Below are 12420 nucleotides of genomic sequence, written 5' to 3'. Positions count from 1 at the left end.
CTTTTCTTTGATAGGAGACTTTATTACTAATTCAATCTCCTTACTATTGTTCTGTTCAGATTTTCTGTTTCTTCTTGATTCAGTCTTGGTAGGTTGCATGTTTCTAGGAATTTACCCGTTTTTTTCTAGGTTATATAATTTGTGGGTGCATAGTTGTTTATAGGAGTCTCTTATGATCATTTATATTTCTGTGGTGTTGATGTAATGTCTCCTCTTTCATTTCTGATTTTATTTATTTGAGTCCTTTCTCTTTTTTCTTTGTTAGTATAACTGTCAATGTTGTTTATCTTTTAAAAAACCCAACATTAGTTATGTTGATGCTTTCCATTATTTTTCTAGTTTCTGTTTTGTGTATTCTCTAATCTTTATTTCCTTTATTTTGCCAAGTCTGAGCTTATTTTGTCCTCTTTTTCTAGTTATTTGAGGTGGAACATTAGGTTTTTTGAGATTTCTCTTCTCTTTTGACTTAGATGTTTATTGCTAAAAGCTTCCTCTCAGGACTGCTTTACTGCATCCCATAAATTTTAATATGCCTCCATTTTCATTTGTCTCAATATATTTTTTAATTTCTCTTTTAATTGCTTTCTTGATGCCTTGGCTATTCAGAAACAATTTGTTTAATTTCCACATATTTGTGAGTTTTCCAACATTCTTTCTGGTTTTGATTTCTAGTTTTATGTAATTGTGCTCAATATGATTTCAGTCTTCCTAAATTTATTAAGTCTTGTTTTGTGGCTTAACGTATGATCTATCCTGGATAATACTTCTTGTGTACTTGAGAAGGATATGTATTCTGTTGCTGTTGGACGGAATGTGCTGTATATTTCAGTCAGGTCCATTTGGTCTAAAGTGCAGTCAACTCTAATGGTTTCTTATTGATTTTCTGTCTAGATGATTTGCTTAATGTTGAAGTTGGGGTATTGAAGTCTTCTATTATTATCGTACTGTAGTTTCTCTCTTCAGATCTATTAATATTTGTTTTATATATTTAGGCGCTCTGATTTTAGGTGCATATATATTTACAATTGTTACAATTTCTTAATAAATTGACCTATTCTTATATAATGACCTTCTTTTCTTCTTTTTATGGTTTTTGACTTAAAATCTTTTTTACTCTGATATAAGCATAGCTATTCCTACTCTCCTTTGGTTTCCATTTGTGTGCGATATCTTTTTCATCCCTTCACATTTAGTCTATTTTGTCCTTAGATGTGAAATGAGTCTCTTGTAAGAAGCATACAGTGGGGTTTTTAAAAAATTATTCAGCCACTCTATGTCTTTTAACTGGAGAATTTAATCTATTTATATTCAAAGTAATATTGAATGGTGAGTATTTACTATTGCCATTCTGTCAATTGTTTTCTAATTAATTTGTAGATCCTTTTTTCTTTATCTTTTGCTGTCTTTCTCTGTGGTTTGGTGAATTTCTATAGTAGTATGCTTTGAATCCTTTCTTTATATCTTTTGTGGTTTTGCTTTGTGGTTATTATGAGCCTTACATAAAAACATTTTATACTAATAACAGGTCAGTTTGAGCTTGGTTATAAGTTAACTTTGATCACTTATGCAAACTATGCCTTTACTCCTTGCCTAATTTATTTTTAATGGTATGTTTTGTATCTTTTATACCTTTTATTCCCTTAACAAATTATTGTAGCTATTTTGCTAATTTTGGTTTTTTGCCTTCATACTAGTTATATGATTGACTTCCACACCACCATTATGATATAATAGTGTTCTGAGTTGAATATATACTTACTTCTGCCAGGAATTATATATATATATATATTTATTATTATTTTTTTTAATCTCTCTCAGTTTCTTTATTCATTCATCCATTTATGGATACCCAGGTTATTTCACTTCCTCTGGATACATACCCAGAAGAAGGATTGCTGGGTCTTATGATGGTTCTATTTCTAATTTCTTTTTTTTTTATTATACTTTAAGTTCTAGGGTACATGTGCACAACGTGCAGGCTCGTTACATATCTATACATGTGCCATATTGGTGTGCTGCACCCATTAACTCATCATTTACATTAGGTATATCTCCTAATGCTATCCCTCCCCGCCCACCCCACCGCACAACAGGCCCTGGTGTGTGATGTTCCCCTTCCTGTGTCCAAGTGTTCTCATTGTTCAATTCCCACCTATGAGTGAGAACATGTGGTGTTTGGTTTTTGTCCTTGCTTTGTGGTGTTTGGTTTTTAAATATTTTCATGTTGCTCTGCTTTCCCTACTCATTTCTCTGTGGAAATTTTTTTAGTTGACCAGTGTATGAGTGTATGACAGTCCTTTTTTTTTTTTTTTTTTTTTTAAGACAGAGTCTCACTTTGTCACCCTGGCTGGAGTGCAGTGGCATGATCTAATTACTTTTCCATGCAATTTCCGCGGAGCATAGTGATTCAAATTTATTTGTCTTTATTTTTTTTGAGATGGAGTCTCAGTCTGTCATCCAGGCTGGAGTGCAATGGTGCCATCTCAGCTCACTGCAACCTCCGCCTCCCAGGATCAAGCAATTCTCCTGCCTCAGCCTCCCAAGTAGCTGGGATTACAGGTGCACAACATGATGCCCTGCTAATTTTTGTGTTTCTGGTAGAGACAGGGTTTCACTCTGTTGGCCAGGCTGGTCTTGAACTTGTGACCTCAAGTGGTCTGCCTGCCTCCACCTCCCAAAGTGTTGGGATTACAGGCATGAGCTACCATGTTTGGCCAATGTGTGAGAATCTTTCAACTGGATTATGGATTTCTCTTAGAGGGAATTGGTCCACATGTGGGTTCACTCAGTGTATCTGTTTGTAGAGTGATAGTTAGGAGTCTCCTCTTCTGCCATATTGCCAAAGTCAACCCTTCATTGGCTATATCCTTAATGAATGCTTCTCACCTACTTGCATATTTTGGAGATGCTGCCTTGCTTTATAATGACATTGTAATAATAATGAACATTCTGAGGTTTGGCATATGGGAAGTGATAAAGCATGTTTTAGGACTGCTTGACCTTTCTACCACTTTCCCAACTCTTCTTGGCTTATCAACGTGAGGAGGCAGCGCAGTTTGTAATTACTTCATCAAACTGTTCATCTTTGTTTATTATACAAGGAAGCCACTTAATTTGACATACATCAACAGAATCTTCCAATATTTAATGCAACATGTTGCTCTGTAGGATGCAGAATTGACCAGGAGATGTTCCCTGACCTCAAGGGGTTATGCAGATAATTTTGTGTCATAGGTTGGGCTTCTTAGGAGCAACTCTGAGATGGAGATGTGTGTGCAAAAAGTTAATTTGGAAGTTGTTTGGGGATCCACACCAATAGGGGAGGGAAGGCAGCAGGACTGGGCAGAAGAGGGAACTGAGATGTTAAGCAGCCACAGCAGAGGCTTCAGTTGGTCCTGGATCTTAGGGGAAGTCTGGAGCTGAGAAGTCTTTTTTAGTTGCCATCTACTGGGGCAATGGGGCTGGGCCTTTATGTTGCCTCCCTAAACTGTTATTTATCATTAGCTCCCCCTGGAAATGGGACCTGACCTTGCATGTGGCAGCTTTCTTTAGCCAAATCCCAAAGCAGGCCTGCACTGCCATCTGTCAGCATCATGGGACTGAGGTCCTAGCAGTTCACATGCATGAAGAGTATGGGGTCTATCAGAGAAGCTCTAGGGGACCTCAAAACCAGGAAATGATTTCCTAGGAAATGCTTTAGGAGGGATAGCTTCCGAGGTGGGTTTAGAAGTATGGAAAATATTTTGCACACCACATGCCCTGGGTGGGTAGTGTTTAACTGGAGATGTCAAAACCTTGAAAGTCTGTGAGACAAGTTTGGACAAGAGTCAGGAGCTGTTCTGTCTGGTCACAAAGCAGAGACGGGATAGTGGAAGAGCAAGAGATACTCAGGGAGAGACAGGCTGAGACCTATTCTGGAAAGGCATAAGAAGTAGGCTCAGTTTCTGGGCTTTCTTCTTAAAACTACCAATGTTTCTCACTAAGAATGAAGTGATCAGAGCAGGGCTGAGCCTTTGGGCAGCCATTTAAGTGAGTCTGGAGAGTGAGAGGTAGGAAGGCCTATGAACTAGTGGTTCCCCAAACCCAGGTGAAGATACACTTAGTATTACTGAGCTAGACTGGGTTGAAAAGAGGGATGAGGGTTTCAAATGCCAGACTTAGTGCATAGAAGCTGTTTGTTGCCCAAAGAAGGATTGTTAAGGGTTTTTGGATCTGCCTTACTATAGAGTGCATGACCCAAAATGGCACTGAAGTGTCAACACTTGTCAAGGTAAGATGCTCAGAGAGCACTAGCTGTATTCCAGTTTGGGGTAAACACCTTTTAAGCCTCCACTGAATGTCACAAGGGTATTAAAGAATGTATCACAGACCCTGGCCTTGACAACAAATGCCAATTTTAGCATTTTCACTGTATCTTCTTTAGTCATGACTAGTTATGTACCAAAGAGATGTGGATTGCAGGTACATGTTTCTAGTCTAAAACAATTGGTTGTGCAGCACTGGTAGAAGGAATAACTAGTAGCGTTTCCTTTGAAGACTTTTTTTTCCCATTGTGAGTCTGAAAGAGAATATGATGAAACCAAATAGGATGCAAAGATGGGCTTTCCATTCATCTGTAAACTGTTGCAGTCAATATTAATTGCCATCATTTACTATAATTAATCAATTAAATCATTAATTTAATCTCTTGATTCATTGGCAACAAAATGCATAATAATGTATATTTGCCAGAATGATTTGTGATCTCAGTTAAAACAGTAATTAAGCAATTAAATATAAAGGAATTCTATTATTTTGGATTGCTTTTTCTTACCAAAGCAGTTAATTACAAAGTAGAATAATTAGTCAGAGATGGATACTAATGAAAGTATGAGTGGCAGTGAGAAACATGGCCAAGGAAGGGTATGCAAAGTCATTGCCAAAAGGCAAGGAGTTGATTAATGTTTAGGTAAACTTTTTCACTACAAAACAAGGGTTCTTATAGTGCTTATTTCATGGGAAAAATAGAAAGAATAACTAACAACAATCATTGAAAAGCACTGTGCAAATGCAATTTTCTATTAAATATTTGAAAAAATAACAAAATAACAACAACCACTTATTTTATTTAAAAATCAACACTTTGAGCCAAGGAAAGCTATTGGTAGTTGTATTTGTTCGTTTTCATGCTTCTATGAAGAAATACCTGAAACTGGGTAATGTATAAATTAAAGAGGTTTAAGTGATGCCCAGTTCTGCATGGCTGGGGAGGTTTCAGGAAACTTACAATCATGGCAGAAGGGGAAGCAAACTCGTCCTTCTTTACATAGTAGCAGGAGAGACAAGTCCCAAGCAAAGGCGGGACGTTCCTTATAAAACCATCAGATCTTAGGAGAACTCACTCACTATTGTGAGAACAGCATCGGGAACTGCCTCCATGATCTAGTCACCTCCCACAAAGTCCCTTCCCGAACACGTGAGGATTACAATTCGGATTACAATTCAAGGTGACTTTCTGGTGGGGACACAGAGCCAGACCATATCAGTAGTATTGGACAAATAAAAAGTATCATTTAAATGACTTTTGCCTGCTCCCACTTTATTATTGTAAGCTGTAGCCTAGACGGGAAGTCATTGCCCTGCATGTGAAGGCTGCCTTATGGCGGTTTTTTCTTCCCCAGGACCCCTGCTGCACGGGGCTCCCGTAACTCATCACAGAAATCCATAATAAACTTGATAAACTCTGGAAAAAATATGGAAACTCATTCTGGGAGGGTTTGAAGCCAGCAGGAACTGGAGGAGAGTTGTGCCTTACGAGGAAATCTCACTTCTGGGTAAGAAATCCATGACCCTGCTGGGGCAGGTGTGTCACAGGTGGAGAGGAGATGGACAGTTTCCAGACACTTTTCTCACCAGGTTAGAAAAAAATGAAAGCTTTGAAAAAAAATTTTTATAACATAAACATTACAAAGTTTTATATATCAAAATACATCATAAGCCAAATAAATAGAAACAATGGCTTAAATTAACTGACTCTTTGTGGTAAATATTTTTATCCACCTAACATGTCTTTCAGCATGCCTGAGAGGTGGGCACACTACCTATCTTTAACCTAAACATGAGGAACTGAAGTCCAGAGAAGTAGGGGTCCTGAATGAAGGCAGCAGAGCCACTGAGAGGCGGGGCTGAGACGCCGACCCCCCTCCCACCCAGGTGGGCTTCTGAACCCAGAAGCTTTAACCAGGACCGTATTTAAAGTATATACAGAGCTTTCTAAATCGACTAACAGAGATAAACAACACCGAAAACAAATTGGTAAAGATTTGAATAGCAAATCCAGAGAAGAACAAATCTGAATGATTCATAAGCATATGAAAAGATCAAGTTCACCAGTCTCAGGGGAATGCAAATAACATAAAAAGCAACTGTCATTTCACACACATCCCACTGACAAAAGCTAAAATAGAGCAAAGAGCCCACTGCTAGGGATGCTGCAGTGTGAGCAGGAACATTTCTAGCGAGACACGAAGTGCTACCTCCTTCAGCAACAGCGATTGTAGTGAACGATACCCATGTCTGTGTCTTCAACAGTCTCCCTCCTGCGAACCCATTACACAGACAGGAACACTGAGTCTTGCAGGCACATATGGACAAAGATATTATTGTGAGGTGGCAAAACCTGCTAAGCATTTAATTGTCCATTGGTAGGGGAATTGCTGAATGATTGAATTATTCCAGCTGCATCCACCGCATGGATTAGTATGCAGTTATTGAAAAGAATGCATTAGAAGCTATATCAAATGGATTAGGAAGATTTATACAAAGTACTGTTAAAACAGGAAGAGAAGCATGCATAATATCTTTTTATTTCTGTAAAACCAATAGTGTGTAAGTTGTATGTGTGTGTGTGACTGTGTAAGAATGCCTAGAAAGTGGCACCTTGGGTTTCTTAGGATGGGGTAGGGAAAGAGCTTCCATGAAAAGGAAGGAATAGGGCAGAAAAAAAAAAAAACAGAAAGAGGCAAGAAAAAAGAAAATGAAAAAGACTGCACTTTAAATTAGCATAATCATATAATCCAATTTATGTAAATTAAACCTGTGAGTCCACAAAGAAAAAAGAAAAATAGAGATACTGATAGATCTGTATCTACCCTCTTCTCTATCCACTGACCAAAAGGGATGCCCGTAATAATTGAAGAAAGCAAAGTATGGGTTAATGTGCGCAATACAATCACATTTTGATAAAAAACAAAAAACACCCCTCCCCATATACGTGCAGATCAACTGGTGTGGAGGACGGGCTCCAGGCTGTGGGGTTGGTGATTCCTGGAGGAGGCTAGGACAGGCGGGCAAGCGAGGAAAACAACTTTTTTTTTTTGCAAATAATTGTTTTATTCCAATTGGAATATTCAGATACATCTTTTGTTTTGCAATTTCAAAAATGATAAATAAAGACATATTTTAAAATAAAAAAGAAAGGTCAAGACCCACACTTCAAACTAATAACTGTTGTGTCTCCCATGAATAAGCTAAACTTTTTTCCTCAATCAAACGTCTCTGGGTGGTCTTGGATAATTCTGGATGGACCCCCAGGGCTCCTGTGACCCCCACCCCATCGTTTTGGCGCATTCAAAGAACGCCTTGTGCACTAAGGTGCCCTTAGAGCCCATGAGCCCCGCCCTGCTGGGTGTGACTGGCTGTCCGGAGGCTGGAGCAAGACCCACGAGCTCCAGTGGACTGGGCAGAAAGATTTGCCAGAGAAAGGAGCCAGATGAGAACATCTGGCTCGAGGAGATGCTGAGGACTGAAGTGAAAGTGTGAACAGGCTGGAGTTGGCTTCCTCATGTATTTGTAACCTTCAGCCTCTAAGAACAATTGCACATATAATCTTTCAATGTCAGAATTAAATCCATATTGAAGAAGAAATTGTGCCTAACTAACAAGGTGTCTTCTCCTTCCCGCATGTTCACAGAGATAATGAAAGTACCACGGCACCCTTCTTTTCTGCTTCCTGTGTTGCCCAAGACAACTCAACTGAATTCCTCAGTGACCCCAAGTTGTCCACATGGGGGACCAGAAAGAAGGGAGCTGAGGCAGGGGATACTGAACATAACCTGTTTATTCACATTCATATACATATAGGTGGGTTATTTTCTTTAATATTAAAAAGCCCAGATTTTTAGTACTAGATTTTCTTTTCTCTTGCCATAAATAGCTCAGTACATTGCTTAATACATAGAAGACTTTGACCACAACTGCTGACATGCACACACACACAGACACACACACTCCTTATCTTTAATGTCAATTCTGACTCCACTCTGTCCCTAAGCTGTGAAAATGAATGTTGAACTATGGACACCCAACAGACCTAGCCTAATCCTCTCCAAGAAGTGTCCAGATTACCTTGGCCAGCTGTTAACCTTTGTCCCCAATAGTCCCGGTTTTATTTGAAAACCTCCCAGCACTGCTTGTGTCTCCTGTGTTAACAGGCAGTTGATGAGGGAACTGTGTCTGCCATGTTAATCAAGTACAGCTGGAAGATGCAGAGATTCAGAATTACCACTGGGGAGGATAAAGGGGCCTGTGTATGCATAATTGTGTGTTTTCTATTTTGTGTATGGAGCTGCCTATGGAAACATCTTTGGGATTTTTTCTCCACTCTAAAGGCCAATGGGACCTCTGCTTTTGAGATAAAGGAGGAAGCTAGCTGCCTTCAACTTTCCTTTGCTCTCCATTGGGGAACTCTGTGATTTGCATTTTAGGTGTAAATTCTTGTAAATCAGCACTTATTTTCAGATGAAATCCTACCATTGAGAACAATCTGGAGTCATTCTCTAATGCCAATATGCATTTGATCCCCATATAATTTCTCAGCATATGGATTAAACCTGCAATAAGGGTGGTACAATCATGATTGGGTATGCAAGACAATTGACCCTTATTTTGCCACAACGATGGGAAAATCTAATTATAACGCCCTTGCCAGCATCTGAGACAAAGCAAGGCTGCATGCCAGCTCAGTCAATTAGCTGGTGTGTGCACCACCCAGTACTATCCCTTTGTTGGTCAGTTACATTCCCTTTAGCCTTTAGTCCAAAGAAAGCACCCCATCCCTGGCCTGGTTATGGCCAGCCAATGCCTTTGGTTTCAGTGAAATAAGGGAATGCACGAAAATCAACCCAAATTAACCATTCCTCAGGGGCAGACCTTACCACCTGGCTGTGTTCCTGTGAATGACGGATGCGTCATGCTGATGATCACATCTGTGGCCTGAGCAGAAGACGTAAGGGAAGACGCCGCGATACTCAGGTCATTGAAATAAACAGATGTCGACAGGACACAGCAGGTGCAGCCCTCATTGGGCATGAAGAAAACAAAGGGAAGGTAGAGAAGTTCCTGAAGGCTGAAGAGTTCAGGAGGTATCTAAAGGAACCTACTTTCTATATGTGAAATATCATTACATGGATTTATATAAGCTTCAGAAAAAAAAGCCACTGAGCCTGAAATGAAAGAGCACCCCACTGGAAAAAGCATTGGTCTATACAGTAAGACATTATTTCAGACTGATTATGAAGTGGCTCCTGACATGCTTTTGTAAAAAATATGTGACAAAATGCATCCTGGACAAGAGGCACGTGGAAAGAGGAGATGTCCAGGTGAGAATGTCTGCCAGAGGATGGCCATGGATGGAATGGTTCTTGGTAGTCTTCAGTGCATCCCGGATGAAATGAACTCAGCAGCCTCTCAGACAGTTCTGCTGGGGGCAAAGGAAGTTCGAGTAGATGGCATAGTCTCTCTATAATACCAGGAGACAGATTTCCAACAATAGTGAAAAGAAATGAGACTTTTCATTACCTCCTTATGATTTTTGTAAACCTGTTTCAAATGAAACAAAACTACTTTTGATATGTGAATGCCTAGTCTTTGCTGATATTTTCCACTTTCCTTCTGTTTTAAAAGATTTGAGGCTTGAAGTTTGTCATCACCACTAACTATTGTTCTGTCTCAGGATTTCGGCTGATTCCCCTGAGTCGTCAACAACCATGGCTTATTCTTTGGGACCTGACAGCCTCCCCAGGCCCAGAGTCAGATGGGAGGGATGAGCAGGTGGAGGTTAAATTAGCAGGAAGAGCCAGCTCATTAGTAGGGAGGGATGGGGGTCTGCTGGGTCTGCCAGGAAGCAAAGGAGGTAGCATCTCTTTAAATGGAAGGGCAAGGGGAATTAGTGAGGAATTGGTATTATAATGCAGACAGAAAGGCTGTCGCTAGATCTTTATGCTCATTCCCATAATGAGTGGGCAATAAATAGAGGTGTCCCACTGGAGAGCCCACAAATGGAGTGAAAAGGGCCATTTAAGGAGGAGGTGTCTGTAGAAAACAGTGACTGTGCTTCAGGGCTTGAAAGCTGAATTTGAGGAAGAGACAGAATAGGATGAATTATTCTAGTGATGGAAGAGCCATTTTCAAGAATAAAAGGGGCTGCTAGGCTGAGGAGGGTAACCAGCTGTCCCTTCTTTCTAGTGACACTAGAACAAAAGGAAGTGAAGTCAAGGAACAGCAGGAGGGAAGGGGTGTGGAGTGGAGGGTGCAGGGACAGGGTTGGGGGATGAACAGCCCAGTCGTGAAATCTGTGAGACCTGGAGAGAGGTCTCAGCCTGAATCTGCCTTAAGAAGCTCCCTGATAAGAGAGGGCACTGCCTCCATGGGGCTCTCTGAGGACAGACTGTGGGGAGAGGAGGGCAGACATGGCCTGGAGGTCAAGCTTGCTGGGCTCTGAGTGTGCACTGCCTCAGAAACAGTTGTCACAGACTGAAGACAATGGGGACTCCACAGGGCTGAAACTGCTTGCAGGGGTCCCCCTCTCTGTTTACACGATCACAGATGAATCCTGCAGCGCAGCTGAGGTTTTCACCAGTATGCCTATCTCCTGCCTTCTCCACTTCTTGGACAAGCTCCAGTTCAATTCTGCCTCCTTGTTTCTACCAGTCAAACCCCACAGGCACACACTTCCAAAGTAATTACGTAATAGCAGCCTATGGCAAAACAAAGCAATGATCGTAATGATACTGGGGAAAGATGGAGCCACAGACTCTTCTTCAAAACCTTTTGAAGTCACAAATAGTTCTCTATTTTAAAGGCGATGGCTACTGATTACATTAGGAATAATCTCTTTAATCTTTGGAGAATGGAAGCTGTAAATTCAGTTCGTGTAATGCAGCAAAATTTTCTGCTTCAAACAGGTTGTTAGTAGCGAACGATTCATTCTGGCTCTCAGTGCCTGTCACTTTCTGAAGGCACTTCTCTTATTTTAGTATTTCCTGTTTGGGAACAAGGTAATGGAAGATGAAACGTCACTTACGGAACCTTTGCTGAGGATGAGCAGAGAGTAAATACAGCCACAGAATGCTTTTCTCCTTAATCCTCATAGAAATCTGCGTCCTTCTCTTCTCTAATTTCATACATACTCATGACTAATATCACCAGCCCCGCTCAGTGATTCATCTTCCCAGCAGTTATCAGGCATGGTCATGCTTGCTTAACAGAGGAGATGGGAATGATCAATAGATTAATCACTAAGCCTTGTGCAATCAGATGATAGAAGCAACATCCTAGCTGGCCAAATGCTTCTTTCAGTTGAGATTATTTTGTTTGTTTTAACAGAAACATTGCAAGGTCTAGGCTGGTGCGGTGTCTGGGGAGGGTGGCTGACTTCTCTTCACTAGTGCAAGAGCAGAAGGCACGATGACCTCTTCCCTCTGCTCAGCATCTTAGGAATGCTGTGAGCCCTTACCAAGTTTTGTCTGGGAAAAATAATCTAACCAATTTTTAAAAAAGACTTCATTCACATATCATAAAACTCACCACTTGAAAGGATATATTTTAGTGTTGTTTAGTATATTCAGAAGGTGTGCAACCATAACCACTGTTTAATTTCACAACAATTTTGTCACTTCATCGCCTCTTCCCCAGACCCTGACAACTACTAATTTACTTTCTTTTTCTATGACTTTACCTATTCTGGACATTTCATGTAAATAGAATCGTGAGATCACACAATACATAATGCTTTTTGACTGACTTCTTTCACGTAGCATGTTTCCAAGGCTCATTCATATTGTAGCCTGTACCTGAGCTTCCTTCCTTCTTGTTACCAAATACAGTAAATCCTCACTTAATATCATCAACGGGTTCTTGGAAACTGTGGCTTTAAGTGCAATGACTTATAATGAAACCAATTTCTTTTCTTCCATCAATATAATGAAATGATGTTGAACGAAATTACGTTATTCAAGGACCTGCTGCAAGTCCTTTGGCTTAAAGTCACAGTTTCCAATAACTCATTTAAGTCAGAACTTACTGTAATATTCCATTGTATGGACACACCGCATTTTGTTTATCCATTTCATTAATTGATGGACGTTTATGTTATTTGCACTG

At 40.2% G+C, this 12420-nt stretch overlaps 1 annotated feature.

Moving 5' to 3' along the window:
- Positions 10762-11961: an enhancer, noted in NCBI's record as "P300/CBP strongly-dependent group 1 enhancer chr5:6158863-6160062 (GRCh37/hg19 assembly coordinates)". NCBI's record gives its function as "activates an origin of replication core promoter dependent on BRD2, BRD4, P300/CBP, MED14 and CDK7 cofactors, with strong dependence on P300/CBP, by STARR-seq in HCT116 cells {active_cell/tissue: HCT116}" and the evidence as "EXISTENCE:reporter gene assay evidence [ECO:0000049][PMID:35650434]".

This window comes from Homo sapiens, chromosome 5 (genome assembly GCF_000001405.40).
Source record: "Homo sapiens chromosome 5, GRCh38.p14 Primary Assembly".
Classification (NCBI taxonomy): domain Eukaryota; kingdom Metazoa; phylum Chordata; class Mammalia; order Primates; family Hominidae; genus Homo; species Homo sapiens.
This window is presented reverse-complemented; position numbering and strand designations above follow the sequence as displayed.